The sequence below is a fragment of the Homo sapiens genome, chromosome 7 (genome assembly GCF_000001405.40).
Source record: "Homo sapiens chromosome 7, GRCh38.p14 Primary Assembly".
Lineage (NCBI taxonomy): Eukaryota > Metazoa > Chordata > Mammalia > Primates > Hominidae > Homo > Homo sapiens.
In genome coordinates, this window is record NC_000007.14 from 158079274 (window position 1) to 158102598 (window position 23325).

General features: G+C 49.9%; 1 protein-coding gene across 14 annotated transcripts in view; it reads right to left on the reverse strand.

The window, feature by feature from the left end:
- PTPRN2 (protein tyrosine phosphatase receptor type N2) overlaps positions 1-23325 on the reverse strand; it is a 1048768-nt gene that overhangs the window by 540218 nt on the left and 485225 nt on the right. For 13 of the 14 annotated variants that reach the window (XM_047420678.1, NM_130842.4, XM_047420679.1 and 10 more), the window contains one exon: positions 2025-2104. In XM_047420678.1, coding sequence (XP_047276634.1) covers positions 2025-2104 — 80 coding nt within the window. Of the gene's footprint in view, positions 1-2024; positions 2105-20652; positions 21584-23325 lie in introns of those variants that run through there. The other variant, XM_011516449.3, reaches the window with a different exon arrangement.

Sequence of the window (23325 nt, forward strand, 5' to 3'; positions counted from 1 at the left end):
CAGCCACAGGAGTTAACATGGAGGCACTGGTGCAAGTTAGCAAATTCAGGTGTTTAGAAAGTTGTCAATATGAGACTCAAATGTACATTTCCTATGTGGCTCCCCCTTGGTGCAGCACTTCGATAAATAACATGAACACATTTGAAATGACTGAGAAACTAGCTTTCAAATAATCAACCTCATTTTCTCTAGAGAGCCATAAAATAAATCAAAGGTCCTTGTCTGTGAGTATATTGTTATGATTTTTAAAAATATAACAAGATTGCCATTCCTAGCATCCTTGAGGTCCTGCAAACCTAATTCCAGTGGCATTGCTCCCCAGTACTGGAGAAACTGCCAATCATGGGATAATTATCAATGCATTTCTGCATAATACCTGATCACGGATTTGGTCTTAAATATCTCCAATAATCACTTCTGACAGGGAACTAGAGCAAGCGAAACAGATGCCATGGAGGGAGGGAGCTCTGGCAGCCACGAGGCACTGAAGCCGTTGTTGGGACCCCCCATTCCTCTTGCGTGGGAGTGTTTGGTATGGATCCCACTGACTTTTCATGCTGGGACCGCACTGGACCGCCCAGCTGGAGTGAGGATGCTGGGCTGCTTTTCCGAGTTGTACCCCAGCTCCACAAGCCTCACAGCAAAGTATGGCAACAAAGTGAGACTGGGGACTCAAGTCTCCACAAACCTTAAATCAGACTGCAGAAGTTTAGTACAACTTTGCAAAGCACTGTATTTCAACCACAAATTCTCAGCCCCCTAAATCACCACCTTGAGCAAAGGAGTTACTGAGGGCACGAGGATATCCCATAAGCAAAACCCGCAGCAGCCAAAACAGATAGGACCAGCAATTCGCTCCATCCCTTAGAACATGGTGGCTACTTCACACCTTGATTACTCTCACTGGAAAAAGAAACTTCAAGTTTACAGGGTGCCAGTACAGTGACGCCTCAATCAACGAGAACTAAGTATTGAAATCCCGAAATAAACCAGAGTATTTTGCTGCATTTTACACTGGGAAAAAAAGACACAAATTTAAGCAAAAAAAAAAAAAAAAAAAAAAAAAAACAAGTTCATAGATTTAGCAATATAAAGGACTGGCTAAAACCAAGTGTCATTTCCCGCTGTGGCTGGGTCAGTGTGTTCCGTCCTGTCTTATCAATGATACGGAACGGGAGCACCCTGCCTGCGGAATGGCCCTAATGCACTGAAAACCATCAGGCTAAGGTTCTGTTATGCTTCCTGTATTTTTCTTACTAGGCAGGAAGATTAAACAATACACTCTACAAGAGTTTTCAACAAGTTTAAAAAAAAAAAAAAAGGCAGGTTGAGGAAAATGCAACATTGTGTCCACCATCCCATTCTGTTCTTCAAGACTCTGGAGAGTAAAGCTTTGTGTTTTTCACTCAATGACAATTATTAATCATATAACAAAGATTACTCAAGCTCTATCTGTAAGTACATCTCAAAAATGTGTGATTCGCAATGCCCAGAACCCTGGGCTCTAAACAGTGAAACCGTCTGGAAGTCGGCCGGTTTTTACTGAAACCTCCCAGATACTTTGTGGTGTCTCTGCCCACCGCAGTCGGGAGCAGGGCCGGTGTGTGCTCCTGGTCTGGTACAAAATGAAAAACCTCAAAGCAAAATTGCACGTGCTCTGCACACACTGGGATTACTACAAACACCAAATCTTGCTTTTCCAAAAGCCGGATTTGTTCTCGGTCACTTGCAGCCCTGTGTCTCCTGCCTTCTATCTGAGCCAGTTCCACACATCAGGGCAGCCCAGTCCCTCTCCACACAGTGAAATCCCAGATGGTGCCCACGGACAGCCACATTGCCCTGTGACTGCCCCTCGTCCCCTCACTGCACACCAGATTTCCACGGAAACCGAGACCTTCCTCTGGGTTGCCCCATGTGGGTAGTGTGAGTCTCTCTCTGCCCTGGCTGTGCATGTGCGTGTTTGCGTGCGTGTGTGTGTGCACACACGTGTGTGTGCGTGTACGTGTGTGTGGAAACAGCCTCACCTGTGGCCTTCTCCACATCCTCAGTGGTCACGTTTTGGACATTGGCGCTCACTTTGAAGGTCACTGCTGGTCCGAGAACCCTGGAAGGGATAATTTAAAATAAGTTCATAACGAAGTCTACGCGCCACACCGCTTTTCTGAAAACGACATGGAAAACACTGGTGTGTTTTTAAAAACGCAAACATCCAAGGCCGCTGTGGCTCCAGGCGTCGACTCCACTGGACGTCGGTTTTCCTTCACACCATGACCTTTGTTTCCATTTGCCAGGAATTCCGTTTTTGGGCTTTGCTTTTCCAAAACACACATCACAGTGTAATATGCTATCCTAAAAAATTCACATCAACCTCTGAACCCAGCAACAGCAAGCAGATATTCTTGCTAGAGAAAAAGAAAAGTTGTTATTGAAATAGATTTTAGTCTTTGGTCCCCAAGGGAGATGTATGAATCTAGAGCAGAGAGGAAAGAGACTAGTATTTTTTAAACTCTTTTGACAGGAACCATTTAAAAAACTACCAAAGTCATTAAGAACTACTCTGTATAAAAACAACTGGCAGGGAATTGCTAGACAGGAATTATCAAAATTGTTCAAAGCTTTTTAAATGCTATGTCAACCACAATTTTGAAAAAATACCTTACTTTTTAAACCATTTAATTCATCTGAAGACCCCATATGCAGTAGAAACTGATTATTGTGCCTACAGCCATCTCAAAATGAATTAGGAATCCAGGGTCCATTCCCAAAGACAGACAGACTGACCCCATGTCCACAGATGACAGCCATAGATAGCTCTTCCTGGAACAGACCCCTTAAATGTCTTCTAAGAAGTAAATCCCTGGAACAGACAGGAAATGCGAAGAGGACCCAATTTAGGTGGGAGAGGGCAGCTAAGACTGTTGCTTCCTGGTCCCTGGGAGGTGCCTGCACTGACATCTAAGCTGTGAAACTGGGTACCATGTAGCCCAGGGTCCCTTGCTGTCCCCACTGCAGCCACACACCCTCCACCACAGGCTCATCCCAAGGCAGCATATGACACCCAGGCTGTGGATTTTGCACCCAAAATCCTTTCAACCTCACATGTATTTTTGATTCAGACATCTCTGCTCATGATACCTCAGTCCCAACCTCTGGTCTTCCTCCTTGGGATTTTTGCTCATTCTCCCAGCCAGGGCCAGCTCCTCCATGTGCAAGCCCTTGGTGAAGGGGACTGTCGTGCCATTACGAGGCAGCACAATTACCATCCTAACACCATGGCTGAATATTCCATGTGGACGTCTTAGCATCACTTTGAACTCAACAAGGTCTCCCTTGAATCAGCGCCTGCTCTGAGGAGCAAACAGCATTCTAACCTTACGGATATTCCCTTTGGCTTCCTTATGCCAGGAATATCCAGCTAGTCACCAAATTCTGCGGAAACCCTTGGAAAATGCACCATGTCCACCACTGCCTCTTGGTTCCCACTGTGATCTTCTAGTCCAAGCCTGTGCCCTGTCACAGCAGAGCTGAGTGACTTCCTGCGTCCAGCTCTACTGCATGCAAAATGTCCTTGGAAGCCGCCTCCAGGGATGACCATGGAGCAGGAGCTGGTGTCTTCTCGAGCCCAGGCCCCAGGCCTGTCTACGGTGCCTCGGCTGGGCCCTCTGCTGGTCCCCACTATGGGCCCTCAGAAAGGAGGAGGCCACTCCCTCCCTGGACTGCAGCTCTCCTGCCAACGATGTTCCACTCGCTCATGAGTGCTGAGTTCTACCCCCTCTCAAAGCCCTACTCCCGAGTGAGCACTGTGAGAGTGGCTGATTCTCCCTGTCTCCACAGTCTTCCAGAAGGGCCCTGAGTGCCTGATATTTAGTGCTCAAATGGCACACCAGACGTTTTATAGATGTTTTCCTTCTTCCCGAGCACAGGATGGGCTCTTTGAAGCATGCATGATGATTTCTGCCACGGCCTCACCCACGCAGGAGGTGATCAATTCATATTTGTGACCGGTTCAACATTTTGGTTGAATGGTTTTCTAAAATTAAGAGAAAGTCCTCATTAACACAAGCAGCACTCATGTACCCCCGAAACAACGCTGAGGACAGAGAGCTCAGCCACAGGGCTTCAAGCTTACACACGGCATCTGTGAAACTGTAATCTCGACCACATCTGAAGATTCCCTGACAGATGGGACTGGAATATCCTAAACCTAATTTTTCCCTCACGTGCTGAAAGTTTTCTCTAAAGGCTGTGAGGAGGTTCTTGGTTCCTCAGAGTCCAAAGACCCAGACCCCTATGCTATGAAGAAGCATGTGACCCATACATGGCCCCGTATTTCACGTGGGGGCCGCAGGAGAGGCCCACACAGCCCGTGTCCTTTCTTGCACGCATGCCGAGCGTCACCATTGCGTGGGGCTGTGGTCATCACCAGGGAGTGCTCCTGACACCCTCGGGGTACATCTCGCAGGCGGTGAGCACCCAGTGACCATCGCCGTCAGGCCCAGCGAGACCCAGGTGCCTGCGGTCACGGTGCACTGAGCCCTGGCTCTGGCCCTTGTGCTCTCAGGAACCCTGTGGGAGGACGGGGCATGAGGAGCTGTCTCCGGAGGAGACTCAGAGGGTCGGTAACGTGACCCCAACTGCATAACCTTCCCTAACTTGAATATGTGCAGGCTCTGACGTGGGAAGAAGTCTCTATCCCGAGGCCCCACTACAGGTCTAACTCCATGAGTCACTGTTCTGTGGCCCTCCTGGGCCCTTCCGCTGGGCCTCAGTTTACTCAGCTGTCGAGTGTGGCAAGGCCCACAGGTCCTCTTGGACTTGCTTTGGCCTAGGAGACCCTGGTTTTCAATAAACTCTGGTGGCCAGGCCCAGCGGGTCTGCAGTAAACAGGGGCAACACTGGGGGCTCCAGAGCTGAGCTGCTGGCTCTGCCCCCAGCACCATCAGCAGCAGAGATCCCTCCCCACAAGAAGAACTTGCCCTGGCATTTGTTACCAACCCCACCCACCACCCCCCACCCCGCCCGCCACGTCTGCTGTGCAGGTGGCAGATGGCTGAGTGCTGTGTGGTCCAGGTGAGAGGCTTCTGGGTAGGGAGTGAGGTCAGCCTTCCCACCAACTTCTTTCTAACCAGGGAGCCTTGGTTGTCTCTGCCATCTTGTTCAGCTTTCTGTCTCTTTAGACATTTGGGGAAAATTGAATAAATCCCATGTGCATATTGCCAGCATCAAAAGGGGAATTTCTGTACTAATCAGGAAATAAAAAGTAAAACAAAGATGCCTAGAGCCCTGCAGAGTCTCTTAGGAGCAAGTACTGCACCTAATATTACAGCTCTCGGGGAGAAAACACCCAGGACGCCCATCCACACCCACGACACTCATCCACATCCTCGACGCCCATCCACACCCACGACGCCCATCCACACCCACCACGCCCATCCACACCCACGACACTCATCCACACCCACGATGCCCATCCACACAGATGCCCATACACTCCGACACTCATCCACACCCACGATGCCCATCCACACGGATGCCCATACACTCCTACAATGCCCATCCACACCCACGATGCCCATCCACATCCTTGATGCCCATCCACACCCATGATGCCCATCCACATCCTCGATGCCCATCCACACCCACCACGCCCATCCACACCCTCGACGCCCATCCACACCCACGACGCCCATCCACACCCACGACGCCCATCCACACGGATGCCCATACACTCCGACACCCATCCACACCCACGACGCCCATCCACACCCACGACACCCATCCACACCCATGACGCCCATCCACACAGATGCCCATCCACACCCACCACACCCATCCACACCCATGACGCCCATCCACACCCACCACACCCATCCACACCCTCGACGCCCATCCAGATACCCATCCACACCCACGACGCCCATCCACACCCTTGACGCCCATCCACACAGATACCCATCCACACCCACGACACCCATCCACACCCATGACACCCATCCACACAGATACCCATCCACACCCACGACGCCCATCCACACCCACGACGCCCATTCACACATGCCCATCCACACCCATGACGCCCATCCACACCCACGACGCCCATCCACACATGCCCATCCACACCCACGACGCCCATCCACACCCATGACGCCCATCCACACCCACGACGCCCATCCACACGGATGCCCATACACTCCGACACCCATCCACACCCACGACGCCCATCCACACCCATGACGCCCATCCACACAGATGCCCATCCACACCCATGACGCCCATCCACACCCACCACGCCCATCCACACCCTCGACGCCCATCCAGATACCCATCCACACCCACGACGCCCATCCACACCCTCGACGCCCATCCACACAGATACCCATCCACACCCACGACGCCCATCCACACCCATGACACCCATCCACACAGATACCCATCCACACCCACGACGCCCATCCACACCCACGACACCCATCCACACATGCCCATCCACACCCATGACGCCCATCCACACCCACGACGCCCATCCACACATGCCCATCCACACCCACGATGCCCATCCACACCCATGACGCCCATCCACACCCACGACGCCCATCCACACCTACGACGCCCATCCACACCCACGACGCCCATCCACACATGCCCATCCACACCCATGACGCCCATCCACATACACGACGCCCATCCACACACACGACGCCCATCCACATGGGTGTTTTCTCCGTCAGGCACATTGTAACCACGTGTCCCGGCCTCACACACAGAGCACTTCCTTCCCATTCCTGCTTTGGCTTTGAAGCATACTGTGAAATTCTTCGTGGCTCCCTTCTCCACCAGGCGCTCCTTACACAGTGCTCACCTATCTAATTACAGACCTGCTTAGAAATTCCAGGGGCCAATTTTCAAACAGAACAGGCAGAGAGACTGAGCTGCAGAATCCTCTGCTGAGGGGGAGTTAGGAACAGGTAGCCCACCGCTCCCAGGCTGAAGCCACAATGATAGAAACCAGGCCTCTGCACGATGAGATAACCATCAGAACAGACACACAGCCTGGCGTCCGCCTGCACCACTCCACACAGCTCCATGCCTTTTCCTCCTTAAACCCCTCACTCAGCCACAAAGGGGGAATGGTCTGTTAAAGGCATGAGCCTGGCCATTCCCCAGCTGCCAGCGTTTGATTAATAACTGCTTTCCTCTGCCCACACCTCACTCTCATGTTTTCGGCCTCTGAGTGGCAAACAGCTGGACTTGAGCCAGTTACAACACTAGGAACACCAGTCAGCACTCAGCACTGTGCTGGGGCCATTTAAACAACAAAACCACCAACGAAAAGCACAAAAAATGTGGAAAATGTGGCACTCAATAGACCATAAAGAGGAGCCTTGTTTTACAGTATGAGCTGAAACGAGAAGGCGGAGCTGTCCTCTCCCACCTGAGCACAGGCATGTCAGGCAACCTGAACTTTATGGCTCTGTGTGTGTGCAGGAATGACTTTGGCATAAGCATTGATTTGGGGGTTACAAATTAATTTGCAAATACAGAATCTGCGAATGAACAGGATCATCGACTGCCTAGCATCTGTGTTGAAGCGCTTTCACACACATCAATAACCTTATTATCTTCTTCACATTTTTCAATTTTATACTGTAGAGAGGATGGGAGCACTGGAGCTTACAAGGCTTGAGATCCAATTGTTTGTTTAACCGCCACTTCCTCGCGGGGCGATTTTGCACATTACATTATTTACCCTGCAAAATCGGGGGAACAAGACAAACATTGCAGGGCATTGGAGGATCGGGCAGGATAGCTGACATGCGACAGGGTTCCCTCTGAACCAAAGCTGTCAGTCTGTGCCCTGCTCAGTCAGGAGGGGTCTGCTCCTCCTCCAAATTCTTCCATAAAATCCACTCTCTAAATTGACTATGGCTTGTGTGGGTTCACACAGTCCCCGCACGCTGTACTGCTTTCTCAGGGAGCCTGGTTGCTTTCCTTCGGGAATGACGTGGTTGATACAAGGGAGGGGACTGTCTCTTTCCCGACCCTGGACCGTGCAGTGAAGATCTCATGAGGAATCTGTAAATGGCCACGTCAGGGTAGATCTTGAAAGTGTCGTCCCGATGGTCGTGCCAGGCACATCTATGGTAAGAAGCGTCTGATGCAAGAGCAGGAAGAGTTTCTGAGTCACTGTTCCTGGGAGAACCATCCACCTTTTGACAGTCAAATTCACTTACCGTGAAAGGTGACTCCTATTTAGGGTGGAAGAAATGCCAAAAAGGAATGCTGCCCACTCAGATGCAAACGCTTCCTCCCCTGACGAAGGAGGGAGTCTTCACACAAACCTTCCTCCCCTGATGAAGGAGGGAGTCTTCACACAAACCTTCCTCCCCTGATGAAGGAGGGAGTCTTCACACAAACCTTCTTCCCCTGATGAAGGAGGGAGTCTTCACACAAACCTTCTTCCCTTGATGAAAGAGGGAGTCTTCACACACATCCTTCTTCCCCTGATGAAAGGGGGAGTCTTCACACAAACCCTTCCTCCCCTGATGAAAGAGGGAGTCTTCACACAAACCTTCTTCCCCTGATGAAGGAGGGAGTCTTCACACAAACCTTCTTCCCCTGATGAAAGAGGGAGTCTTCACACACATCCTTCTTCCCCTGATGAAAGAGGGAGTCTTCACACAAACCTTCTTCCCCTGATGAAAGAGGGAGTCTTCACACAAACCTTCTTCCCCTGAGGAAAGGGGGAGTCTTCACACAAACCTTCTTCCCCTGATGAAGGAGGGAGTCTTCACACAAACCTTCTTCCCCTGATGAAAGAGGGAGTCTTCACACAAACCTTCTTCCCCTGAGGAAAGGGGGAGTCTTCACACAAACCTTCTTCCCCTGAGGAAAGAGGGAGTCTTCACACAAACCTTCCTCCCCTGAGGAAAGAGGGAGTCTTCACACAAACCTTCTTCCCCTGATGAAGGAGGGAGTCTTCACACAAACCTTCTTCCCCTGATGAAAGAGGGAGTCTTCACACAAACCTTCTTCCCCTGATGAAAGAGGGAGTCTTCACACAAACCTTCCTCCCCTGATGAAAGAGGGAGTCTTCACACAAACCCTTCTTCCCCTGATGAAAGAGGGAGTCTTCACACAAACCTTCTTCCCCTGATGAAAGAGGGAGTCTTCACACAAACCTTCCTCCCCTGATGAAAGAGGGAGTCTTCACACAAACCTTCTTCCCCTGATGAAAGAGGGAGTCTTCACACAAACCTTCTTCCCCTGATGAAAGGGGGAGTCTTCACACACATCCTTCTTCCCCTGACGAAAGAGGGAGTCTTCACACACATCCTTCTTCCCCTGAGGAAAGAGGGAGTCTTCACATAAACCTTCTTCCCCTGATGAAAGAGGGAGTCTTCACACAAACCTTCTTCCCCTGATGAAAGAGGGAGTCTTCACACAAACCTTCCTCCCCTGATGAAAGAGGGAGTCTTCACACAAACCTTCTTCCCCTGATGAAGGAGGGAGTCTTCACACAAACCTTCTTCCCCTGATGAAAGAGGGAGTCTTCACACAAACCTTCTTCCCCTGATGAAAGGGGGAGTCTTCACACACATCCTTCTTCCCCTGACGAAAGAGGGAGTCTTCACACACATCCTTCTTCCCCTGAGGAAAGAGGGAGTCTTCACATAAACCTTCTTCCCCTGATGAAAGAGGGAGTCTTCACACAAACCTTCTTCCCCTGATGAAAGAGGGAGTCTTCACACAAACCTTCCTCCCCTGATGAAAGAGGGAGTCTTCACACAAACCTTCTTCCCCTGATGAAAGAGGGAGTCTTCACACAAACCTTCTTCCCCTGATGAAAGGGGGAGTCTTCACACACATCCTTCTTCCCCTGACGAAAGAGGGAGTCTTCACACACATCCTTCTTCCCCTGAGGAAAGGGGGAGTCTTCACACAAACCTTCTTCCCCTGAGGAAAGAGGGAGTCTTCACACAAACCTTCCTCCCCTGAGGAAAGAGGGAGTCTTCACACAAACCTTCTTCCCCTGATGAAGGAAGGAGTCTTCACACAAACCTTCTTCCCCTGATGAAAGAGGGAGTCTTCACACAAACCTTCTTCCCCTGAGGAAAGGGGGAGTCTTCACACAAACCTTCCTCCCCTGAGGAAAGAGGGAGTCTTCACACAAACCTTCTTCCCCTGATGAAGGAGGGAGTCTTCACACAAACCTTCTTCCCCTGAGGAAAGGGGGAGTCTTCACACAAACCTTCTTCCCCTGATGAAAGAGGGAGTCTTCACACAAACCTTCTTCCCCTGATGAAAGAGGGAGTCTTCACACAAACCTTCTTCCCCTGATGAAAGAGGGAGTCTTCACACAAACCTTCTTCCCCTGATGAAAGGGGGAGTCTTCACACAAACCTTCTTCCCCTGATGAAAGAGGGGGTCTTCACACACATCCTTCCTCCCCTGACAAAAGAGGGGGTCTTCACACAAACCTTCTTCCCCTGATGAAAAGGGGAATGTTCACACAAATCCTTCTTCCCCTGACGAAAGAGGGAGTCTTCACACACATCCTTCCTCCCCTGATGAAAGAGGGAGTCTTCACACAAACCCTTCCTCCCCTGACGAAAGAGGGAGTCTTCACACAAACCTGTCTTCCCCTGACGAAAGAGGGAGTCTTCACACAAACCCTTCCTCCCCTGACGAAAGAGGGAGTCTTCACACAAACCCTTCCTCCCCTGACGAAAGAGGGAGTCTTCACACAAACCCTTCCTCCCCTGACGAAAGAGGGAGTCTTCACACAAACCCTTCCTCCCCTGATGAAAGAGGGGGTCTTCACACACATCCTTCTTCCCCTGACAAAAGAGGGAGTCTTCACACACATCCTTCTTCCACTGATGAAAGAGGGAGTCTTCACACAAACCCTTCCTCCCCTGATGAAAGAGGGAGTCTTCACACACACCTGCTGCCTAGAGCCCTCAGAGGTGTGATACTCGAACAATGTGTTCACATGGGTCCTATGAAGAATATATTAGGAGAAACAAAAGCTATTTATTGCCGCTAGGAGTCATCTCCCAATTGGGCTGGAAATAACATGAAAAAATATATCACTGAGATTCTACAGAATTCACTGACTTAAAACTACCTTTAACCAAAATAAGGAAACCATATATGTTGTACATAGATAAGAGATCATTTCATCACTGTAATTTTAGCTATAGTTACCTCTATTTTAAATATCATTCCATTTATTCCTGAGTTCTTTATCACTCAGTGGTTCCACTTGATAGTTTACTATATATTGATAATTGCTCATTTCTTTTGATGGTCATAAAACATGCCAACAAAGAAGAGAAGTGACATCTAGCATTTTAACACTGATTTTATTGCTTGTGTTCTAGGATACTCCTATCACTCAAGACTTATGAGACAAACATACCAGCCCTCCATCAACCAGACTGTTGAGTGTAAGAGTTCTGCGTAAAAGGCCTTTTCTTAACTGAGGACTATTTGGAAATCTCTTTTTCCCCTACTTTTATGAGTGAAATAATTTAAAAATACATATAATTATCTGCCTTTAGAACATCAATATACTGATGTACTAATATTTGTTGTCTTAGCAATCATATATCTCAAAGTGATTTTCTGAATATTAGTTTTCAGGGCATGACACTTTAACCACAGGAAAGAAAACACTGAGCTCCATCTGTTCTTAGACCAACCGTCCGGTTGAGAATGAAGAAGATGAACAAATCTCTGACAAAAGCTTCCATGTTTCGGAAATGGTTTTAAATAAGAACCGAGGCTTCTATTTGGTTGGGTTAGTCTGGGGGTTGTTATTTCTGTATAGTAACGACTATACAGTCGATACATAACACAGGCTTATTTGTATCAAGTCAACCTTTAAGGGCTACAATAAATGTAACACATTTGACTACAGTTTTCTGAATAGACACTGCCTAAGCAGTAGTTAACAAGTTTGTAGTCCGTTTAAATAAAGACAGGCCTCAGGTACTAGATTCCCTTGACTTTTTGTGGATAAAAAGAAGATAGCCAAGGCATATATGGCAACAAATATAGTTTTAAAGTTAATCATTTAATGTTGATGCTTTACAACCAACATAAAAGTAAATGCTTCTCTTTTCAACTGGTGAATTTTCTTGAAAGTTATTTAGAAATGAAAAAAACAAAACTTCTGTAGACTGTTTTTTGTTTGTTTATTTTACTAGCATGCTCTCTGCTGGCTTGACAGACTGACCTGTGCTTTATCTATTTGACACCTGGATTTGGAGTGAAGCCCATAACATGAATAGATGGGTGCGTGAGGGATAGGTGATAGATGGATGGGTAGAGAGATGGTTGGGTGAGTGGGTGGGTGGGTGAGAGATAGGTGATGGATGGGTAGAGAGATGGTTGGTTGGGTGGGTGGATGGGTGAGGGACAGGTGATAGATAGATGAGCAGAGAGATGGTTGGGTGGGTGGGTGAAAGATAGGTGATGGATGGGTAGAGAGATGGTTGGGTGGGTGAAGGATAGGTGATAGATGGATGGGTAGAGAGATGGTTGGGTGAGTGGATGGGTGAGGGATAGGTGATGGATGGGTAGAGAGATGGGTGGGTGGGTGAGTGAGGGATAGGTGATAGATGGATGGGTAGAGAGATGGTTGGGTGGGTGGGTGGATGGGTGAGGGATCGGTGATAGATGGATGGGTAGAGAGATGGTTGGTTGGGTGGGTGGGTGGGTGAGGGATAGGTGATAGATGGTTGGGTAGAGAGATGGGTGGGTGAGGGATAGGTGATGGATAGGTAGAGAGATGGTTGGGTGGGTGGATGGGTGAGGGATAGGTGATAGATGGGTAGAGAGATGGTTGGGTGAGTGGGTACATGGATGAGTAGATGGGTGAATGGGAGGGCAGAGATATATATACACATATACATGTATATGTGTGCATATATATATATACACACATATATGTATATATATGCATACATATATACATGTGCATATATATACATATATGTGTGTGTGTATATATATGTAGGTGAGTGGGTGGGAGGGAGGATGGGTGGATGGATGGATAGATGGGTGGGTGGGTGGGTAGAAGGATGGATGGATGGGTAGAGAGGTGGATAAGTGGATAGATATATGGGTGGATGGCTGGCTGGATGGATGGGGAGGTAGACGGATGGATGGATGAAAAATTGATAGGTGGGTGGTTTGGTGGATAGAGATATGTATATATTTATTGCTTATATTAATTCAAACATAATTAGACACTTTCTCAAAATACTGTTTATAGCTTAAGAATCATTTTGCATTAAACCTTTCCCATCTTGTGGGCTATACATTTAGTGAATTGCTCATTCTGTTTCTTAGTCAGTATTATGTTCAGAGAAACACAGTGCTAATAAAGGTCTCAAAATTATCAAACAAAATCATAATGATTTAAGAGACTTACTATATCTGGCTGAACATAATTTGAGGCCAGGTAAAACCTGGAAGAGCTCACTACACACAGTACATGTTTTAGGGGCTCCCTAAAGCCAGCCCCTCAGCCTCGAGGTAGAGGCACAGGGGAACTTCCAAGAAACCAGCCCTGTGTCTGGCCTTGAGTAGGTGGGCGCAAACCAAGAGAGCACGCTGCTGTGGTGCTCGGTAACAACCACAAAATTTGACCTAAGGCAACTCATTTGGCAATCGCTATTTTATAGATGAATAAGTTGAAACCCTTGTAGTTTTAGGTGCTAGCTCCAAATAGTCCAATTCTAATATCAATGCCACCACTAGAATCACAACTTCGGCGTTCTTGGCTGAGAGCCTTCTGCGAGGCACGAGTATAAGTGTGAGACCCACACGCAGGCCTGCACCTCTGTCCTTTCCTGACTCTGCCGCTGGACCGACCCCCACACCATAGACCCACACGCAGGCCTGCACCTCTGTCCTTTCCTGACTCTGCCGCTGGACCGACCCCCCACACTGTAGACCCACACGCAGGCCTGCACCGTCCTTTCCTGACTCTGCCGCTGGACCGACCCCCACACTGTAGACCCACACGCAGGCCTGCACCGTCCTTTCCTGACTCTGCCGCTGGACCGACCCCCACACTGTGGACCCACAGGTAGGCCTGCACCACTGTCCTTTCCTGACTCTGTCGCTGGACCGACCCCCACACTGTTTGTGCTTTTACTCCCTGAATTGTTCCTGATGATAACTTGCCTCCTCCAGTCTTGTTCCTTGTTCACTGGCGTCCCTCACTCTAGGCAAGCCCACAGCTTGGTGCTGGGCTAATCCAAGCTACCGACAGAAAACCAATAAAAAAATGAGCTCACGTCTGGCTGCTACAGAATTCTCTTTGCATGCCTCATTCCAGCTATGTCTTCTTACAGAGGAGACATCGGGAACATAAAACTCCGGAATTCCACGTGGATAGCATAATGCATACCTACTTTCCTTACACACACTTTTAATTTTACCACATTTCCTGCACAATTGTGTATTCCTGCCTCTCGTACATGAGGCAATAACTTCCCAAAATATCTAGCCTAAGAGCTTACAAAGGAGGAAGAAGAGAGAACCAATTCTTATTTGAATGTATGAGGAAACAAAGACACACACAGTTATTGCAAGATAATTTAACATCATGCAAGCCTTAATGAAAACATAATTATTAATGATGCTTTATTTTCTTAAAGCATTGAGCAACTGCATCACTGTGCAGATTGTATCTTCTTTGCAATTACTTTGCCATTACATGGGATTTGGGAAATCCTTTCTGTGCCAGGGAATGTCTTGCCGCTTACTTTTCTCATGGAGTATTTGGAAGAAAACAGATTGTTCAGTATGTATGCTTTGCCTTTGAACTTTAGAAGCATTTGCCTCCTTTGAAGTTCTACTGCAGGCTGCTTTCCTGTTACACCTGCTGGGTGGCATGACCAGTCCCAAGAGAAGACCCTTGTTCCCCCAGCACAGGGGTGGGCCGGATCTCACCAGGAGCAGCAGAACGCTCGCCATTCCCGAAGGACCAGGGCCACCCCATCTGTGTTTTTTCTGTTTTGTTTTTGTTTTTGTTTTCAGACGGAGTCTCGCACTGTCACCCAGGCTGCAGTGCAATGGCGTGATCTCGGCTCACTGCAACCTCTGACTCCCGGGTTCAAGTGATTCTCCTGCCTCAGCCTCCCCAGTAGCTGGGATTACAGGCACCTGCCACCATGCTCAGCTAATTTTTTTTTTAAAATAGAGATGGCGTTTCACTATGTTGGCCAGGCTGGTCTCGAACTCCAGACCTTGTGATCCGCCCACCTCGGCCTCCCAAACTGCTGGGATTACAGGCATGAGCCACTGCTCCCGGCCCCCATCTGTGCTTTCTATTGCAGCTTCGCTCTCATGATGCTTAAGGATTAATGAGCTACACAAACACATGACTGAATTATTAGTGACTAACATTTAGAAGTAGAAGCATTCACCCAAGAATTAGGACCCAGGCTTTTTCCCGAAGCCTCAGCAGCTTGGCCACAGCCTTCGGTGCTGTAGGACAGGCAGGAAAGGTGAGAACTCCTCCCCCTGAGTGTTCCTGAGGGCTCCACTGCGCAGTCCCCACCATCCCTCAGGGTCTCCTGGGCACTGTGGCTCACTCTGGTTTTGTTTCTTGTTTTACTTTTGTTTCTCTGGACACGCAGGCTGCTAACTCCCGAAGGCAACTGCCAGCCTTCAAACAACTCCAGTTTGCAATCCCAAATGAAGTGTAACGCACACTCATGGGCCAGCATCCGTGGTGGGAGGAGCCGCTGGGTCCTGTAACTGGGGCAGGTTTATATTCCTCCCTGCCCTGGGTTGCAGGTCTCAGCCTTTCCTGCAGGAGGTGAGTCCTGAATAACCTGCCCCGCCCATCTGCCCCAAAGCCTCCTGCAATCAGCTCATGCGCAACGTCTCTGACTGGAGAGACACATTCGGAAGAGTGAAGTGATTTTTATTTGGTCCTGGTGAGAAAAATAAGAATAACGCCAAGCAGGGTATCTAGTATTGACGGTGTAGGTCATAAGTAAAATGCATATTTTACCACAGTGTTTGGTGTCATTTCTATATAAATCTAACTTGTTCATGTGTTTACATATTTCTTGGCTTAGACATTTTATTACTTTAATAATGTATCTGGAAAGCTACCCTTTATTTGGTGTTAAGTATCTGCATACGCAGGGCATTTAATTCTACAACTCTGATGTAGACATTATCGTCTCTACTCCATGGAGGAGCACACTGAGGCCAGGTGGCTTCAGTAATCTGCCCAGGGCCTCACAGCAAGTTGAGAAAAACAGAGTCAAACCCATGTGCCTTTGAATTCAGTCTGCCCATTCTTTCGTGGAATCATTCATTCACTCATTCAACAAATAAGCCCCTGTTATGGGCCAGAAACACTCTAGTCACTGATGACGCATGATTGAGCAATACAGACTGAGGCCCTGCCTTCAAGGAGCGTAGGAGTGTATACTTTCTGGTTCTGGTTTTGCAGAGACGAGGTCTTGCTATGTTGCCCTGGCTGGTCTCAAAACTCCTGGTCTCCAGTGATCCTCCCAGTTCAGCCCCCAAAGTACTGGGATTACAGGCGTGAGCCGCCGCACCAGGCCAGGAGATAAAAGATTCAAGTCCTATGGATGAAAGTGCCTTTACAAGAAAACTCAGAACTGCCTGGGAAACTCTTCACTACCTGGTGTCCAGTACCCAAATCCAGCATTTACCCAATGCTTCACACTTGAAGTGCATTGAAAAGTCTAGAGAAAAGAATGGGTTCTTCTTGCCAATCTGAATCCATTAACAGTAGAAATTAGAGTGTTTTTTTTCCTAACAGCAATGAAATAGCGCAATTGTCCAGCTAACATGTATTGCAAACCTCCACAGCAGACGTTATTCTAGTTTTTCCTAGAGTCTCTCCAACCCTGTCATGGCCTCACAGCCGTATACATAATTTGTGGGGCCCTTTGTTGAAGAATTGTAAGAGTCTCAAGATGGTACCAGCAAAGCATGAACCATGTGTGGGGCCTCTAAGAGCCGGGTCTCAGCCACATGCCCAGGCCACCTCCATCCTTGTGGGGAAACTGAGGCTCAGGAAAATAAGGAAACTGCTCTCCTCCTAAATGGTCATATCATTTCATACTAGGAAACAAGGCTCCACCAATATTTTAAACACAAATATCTTTAATCAAATCATGGGATTCACTTAACCTGAGAAATGCCACCTTTCACTCAAACAGAATTATTATTTGCAAATCCACAGTGGCCTTCCCTTGTTGTCTCATCTTAAAGACGGGACGGGGAGTTTTGACGTACTGTGACATTTCCTTGACATTCCTTATTTCCAGGAAAACCTCATGTCACTGTCTCGAGACACTAGCTTGCACCTTTGCAACTGCTTGTAATATTCAGACAGGGCACTGAAGACGAAGCCTGGGCTCCGTTTGGGAAGGAGAGTTACATAACATGAGGCCCCATTCCCCACCTTCCTCACTTGGCAAATCCAGAACACAGGTGAAACAGGTAGCAACATTGCCCGTGAGGGCCGGAGTCTGCAGGTGGTGGATACACCACATCCAGATGCAAATGCCATTTACCCAGACCCTCCCCTGGGGCTCCTGGGAGTTTCTCACTGCGGGGGCTCTTGGCTTTGAGTGATATTACTAACGCACAGCACTGTCGCTGCAGTGGTTAATCTGCACTGCCCTGATGTGTAGACAAAATTATCCAGGGCTTTATAGTCATCGAGGCCACAGGGAAAACCAGAGAGCCAACCCAGGGAATGAAGGACCATTCTCACCCCTCACAGGATTCCTGCTGCCTACAACATCTTTGTAAATCCCCTATGCATGGGGACAAGACTAGGGGCAAAACAATCACAACTCTGCCCCCGGAAACTGAAACATACTTTCCAGAAGTTTCCCGGCAAACCCCAGGGACTTCTCCCACTGGCAGGGTGGGAGAGGGGCAGGCACTGGGGAAGGAGGTGGAGGGGCCCGGGCAGCACTGGGGTTGTCACAGGATCGAGCAGGCACAGGCACCTCCCGCGCCCCGTGCACAGAGAAGACCCCAACAAGAAGCATCAGGGTTGAGAATTCCCACTGCTGCCTCTTCGGTAATAACACCGTATTCATCAATCCAGTAAATCACACAGATGAGAAAGTAAACGCTTCTCCCACCAGGAGAGCACATGAAGATTGATCACAGAATTAGGCTGCGTGCCCCGAATGCCCCGGCGGTCCTCGTGGCTGATGTGGGAGCTCCACCGAAGCCATCTGGAAGAGAACTGTCACAGAGCCCGTCTCACTGTGGACTCAGGGGCTCGTGGGAATGTGTCTTTGGCATCCTTTTTCCCAGGAGCACTGCCCACCTCCCCGAGATTCCGCGGAAGGCGGCCTGGCATCGATCACCGCCGCCGCAGACAGCCACAATCACGTCGTAAAAACCCGGCTGCGGTCACTGCCGGTCTGCTGGCATAATTACATCACATGCTAATGCAGTTTTAATGGTCTCTAATGATGTCATAAGAAATAATGGGATTTATGTGACAGCTACATAACCACTAACAAAACATATTCAGCATAACTAGCACTTCCACAAAACCGCAGGAGAGTCTGAGAGTGACAGCTTGCGCATCCTGTCCGCCTCTTTTCCTTTCCCGGAACAATGAGCAGCTCCCAGAACATGCTCTGACAGGCAGCACCGCGTGGCCGTGTCTCCCGCCTGTCAGAGCTGCTCCCCTCGAGACACCAACGAGGCACAGCCCACACCCCCGTCCGTCCCTCGAGCCGGTGCATTTGCCAAGTGTGTGCCCGTGGCTGCTGGGCCCGGGTGAGGCACAGGACGTGGAAGTAAGGCTTGCGTGGTCCCCTGCACATGAGCACACACGCACGCAGGCACCAGAACTCAAGACCCAGCGTGGGGCAGCCTCTGCCTGGCCAGGACTGGGGACCTCGGAGAAGCGCTGGACGCAGCAAGAATCAGGCTTCAGCTCCGCAATGTGGGCAGGGGACCCGCAAAGGATCCTGCGGGTGAGGCCACCGGGGGGGCTCCCTGGGGAGGAGGTGGAGAGGTCCAGATTCCCGAAGGCTCCGAGGGACGGGCGGCGGGACTCAGGTTTGACTCTGTAGGAAAGAGGGGGCCGCCAGTGTCCTAAGGCGGGAGATGCCCGAGGGTGACGCTTACCCAGGACTGAGCCTGGCAAAGCCCAGCCCTGCTCCCGGAATGCGGAGAAGCCGTCCGTGCTCAGAATCCGTCTTCCGACAGCGAAGGCGGTGGCCAGGAGGGCCAGGGGCAGGGAGCAGGCACGGGCGAGGCCCAGCTGCTCTGTGAAACCAGAGGCTCCCCGAGGCACACGCCTCCCTCGCCCGCCCCGGCCTGGCATCTGCCAGTCCCACCATTTTGCTGAGACTCTGTGAAGGTGAATGGGGTTGCTTGGGCTCGGGGACTGGAAGAAGAAGGACGTTTATCTCGTGAACGCGGGACGCTCCTTATGGGAGAGGAGTGGGAGACATGAAGCAAAGCGTGACCACCGAGGAGCTGGGGAGAAAGCGAGAAAGCAAGGAAGCAGTGGGGGACGGGGAACGGGGCCGCGGGGAGGGCCGGAGAAGATGGTAGAAGGTGACAGTGCGGGGTGCAGCGTTCCTGGGTCCTTGAGGGGAGCCGGGCTTCTCAGCCTTGAAGACCCACTTCTTCTCTGGCCTCATTCCTGGGTTCCGCATCCCGGCTGCCTCCCCTTCCTCCCCCAACACATCCCGGCTGCCTCCCCTTCCTCCCCCCAACACATCCCGGCTGCCTCCCCTTCCTCCCCCAACATCCCGGCTGCCTCCCCTTCCTCCCCCCACATCCCGGAGGCCTCTCCTTCCTCCCCCCACAACCCGGCTGCCTCCCCTTCCTCCCCCCAACACATCCCGGGTGCCTCCCCTTCCTCCCCCCACATCCCGGATGCCTCCCCTTCCTCCCCCCACATCCCGGCTGCCTCCCCTTCCTCCCACCACATCCCGGCTGCCTCCCCTTCCTCCCCCCACATCCCGGCTGCCTCCCCTTCCTCCCCCCACATCCCGGCTGCCTCCCCTTCCTCCCCCAACATCCCGGCTGCCTCCCCTTCCTCCCCCCAACACATCCCGGCTGCCTCCCCTTCCTCCCCCCACATCCCGGCTGCCTCCCCTTCCTCCCCCAACATCCCGGCTGCCTCCCCTTCCTCCCCCCAACACATCCCGGCTGCCTCCCCTTCCTCCCCCCACATCCCGGCTGCCTCCCCTTCCTCCCCCAACATCCCGGCTGCCTCCCCTTCCTCCCCCCAACACATCCCGGCTGCCTCCCCTTCCTCCCCCCAACACATCCCGGCTGCCTCCCCTTCCTCCCCCAACATCCCGGCTGCCTCCCCTTCCTCCCCCCATCCCCGGCTGCCTCCCCTTCCTCCCCCCAACACATCCCGGCTGCCTCCCCTTCCTCCCCCCACATCACCGGCTGCCTCCCCTTCCTCCCACCACATCCCGGCTGCCTCCCCTTCCTCCCCCCAACACATCCCGGCTGCCTCCCCTTCCTCCCCCCAACACATCCCGGCTGCCTCCTCTTCCTCCCCCCATCCCATCAGTGGTCATGCTTCACTTCCTCTCCCCACTCCTCCCTCATAAGGATCATTGTGTTCATGAAATAAACTTATTCCTTCTTTATTTATTTTTATTTTCCATAGGTTTTGGGAACAGGCAGTGTTGAGTTACATGAGTAAGTTCTCTAATGGTGATGTGTGAGATTTTGGTGCACCCTCCTGCCACCCTTTTCCCTGAGTCTCCAAAGTCCTTATGTCATTCTTAAGCCTTCACATCCTCATAGCTCAGCTCCCACTTATGAGTGAGAACATATGATGTTTGGTTTTCCATTCCTGAGTTACTTCATTTAGAATAATAGTCTCCAGTTCCATCCAGCTTGCTGTGAATGCCATTATTTCATTCCTTTTTATGGCTGAATAGTATTCCATGGGGTGTGTGTGTGTGTGTGTGTGTGTGTGTGTGTGTGCCACGATTTCTTTATCTACTCATTGATTGATGGGCATTTGGGTTGGTTCCATATTTTTGCAATTGCAAATTGTGCTGCTATAAACGTGTGTGCAAATATCTTTCTCGTATAATGACTTCTTGTCCTCCAGGTAGATACCCAGCAGTGGGATTGCTGAATCAAATGGTAGTTCTTTTAGTTCTTTAAGGAATCTCCACACTGTTTTCCATAGTGGCTGTGCTAGTTTGCACTCCCACCAGCAGTGTAGAAGTGTTCCCTGTTCACCACATCCACACCAGCATCTACTGTTTTTTGATTTTTTGATTATATCCAATCTTGCAGGAGTAAGGTGGTATAACATTGTGGTTTCGATTTGCATTTCCCTGATCATTAGTGATGTTGGGCATTTTTTCATATGTTTGTTGGCCATTTGTATATCTTCTTTCAAGAATTGTCTATTCATGTCTTTAGCCCATTGTTTGATGGGACTGTTTGTTTCTTGCTAATGTGAGTTCTTTGTAGAGTCTGGATATTAGTCTTTTGTCGGATATATAGATCATGAAGATTTTTTCTCACTCTTTGGGTTGTCTGTATACTGCTGAAAGAAATCACAGATGACGCAAACAAATGGAAACACATCCCATGCTCATGGATGGGTAGAATCAATATTGTGAAAATGACCGTACTGCCAAAAGCAATCTACAAATTCAATCCAATCCCCATCAAAATACCACCATCATTCTTCACAGAACCAGAAAAGACAATCCTAAAATTCATATGGAACCAAAAAAGAGCCTGCATAGCCAAAGCAAGACTAAGCAAAAAGAACAACCTGGAGGCATCACATTACCTGACTTCAAACTATTCTATAAGGCTATAGTCACCAAAACAGCATGGTACTGGTATAAAAATAGGCACACAGACCAATGGAACAGAATAGAGAACCCAGAAATAAACTCAACTACTTAACAGCCAACTGATCTTCGATAAAGCAAACAAAAACAAAGTGGGGAAAGGACACTCTAGTCAAAAATGGTGCTGGGATAATTGGCAAGCCACATGTAGAAGAATAAAACTGGATCCTCATCTCTCCCCTTATCCAAAAATCAACTCAAGATGGATCAAGGACTTAAATCTAAGACCTGAAACCATAAAATTTCTAGGAAATAGCATTGGAAAAACTCTTCCAGACATTGGCTTAGGCAAAGACTTCATGACAAAGAACCCAATAGCAAATGCAACAAAAACAATGATAAATAGCTGGGACTTAAACTAAAAAGTTTCTGCACAGCAAAAGAAACAATCAGCAGAATAAACTCATTCCTTCTTCCAGTCATCTAGCCCAAACAATCCCACTGTATACAAAGAAAGACCTCACACCTTCCATTGCACCAAAAGAGTTTAAAACCCAGCTCACCATGAAAGCCATGGAGACTTTAAAAGAAATCCCACCTGGTATTTAAGAAAATCTCACCCAGCACAGTAGTGCACCCGTCAGCCTCAGGTCTGCTCCAATCAGTGTGGACAGCAAAGCCCCTGGCCACCCTGACCGTCCAGCTGTTGGCCATGTGGCCAACCACTCCTCCCTTCTTCATTCTGGCCCACCCTCTCCCAGGGGATGTTACTGGGGGAGGGCAGAGATGGCCAAAGCAGTGAGCAGCGGCAGGCCCATCTCTGCCCGTCACTACGCCACGGTGGGCCCTGAGGTCCCAGGATCTGCTCACAGTGAGCAGCCATGGAGCTTGCAGCTGACCCTGGGGCCCCTCTCCTGTCCTGAGGATGAAGTGGTTCCTCTCCCAAGCCCCAGATCGCAAACTGGACCCATGTGGCAGGCACTGAGCCCAGGTGCCAGGCAGCCCTCAGCCCACGCCTTCACCCTGGAGCCATGATGCTAACAGTGCATGGCAGCCATCAGCAGCAGGGCGGCCAGGAGGGAACCTTCAGAAAACACTGAGCCCCTGTGCGCCTGAGCCACGGCCTTCCACGTGCTGGACAGCCACCACAGAAGGGCTTTGCCAGAGGAAAATATGGTAAACTCAATGCACGCATCCCGAGCTGGCCCGAGGATGCTTTATTCCAAAGCCACCTCTTGTGACTGCCTGCCCTCTGCCCAATTATCTCAGTTATGTGTCTGGGTGCAACAGCTTCCTCCCTCCCATGGCTCCAGGCCGCCCTGCTGCTCATGGAGGCACCTCTCATGGTACCCAGGCTGCTTCTTTTCCATGGCCCTCAAATGTCCCTGAGGACAATCTCACTTTTAACTAAGGAGGCATCCACACCTCCACACGTTCATCAGTAATTGTGGGCCTTGGCAGCAACAGGTGAGTTTCCCAGGGCTGC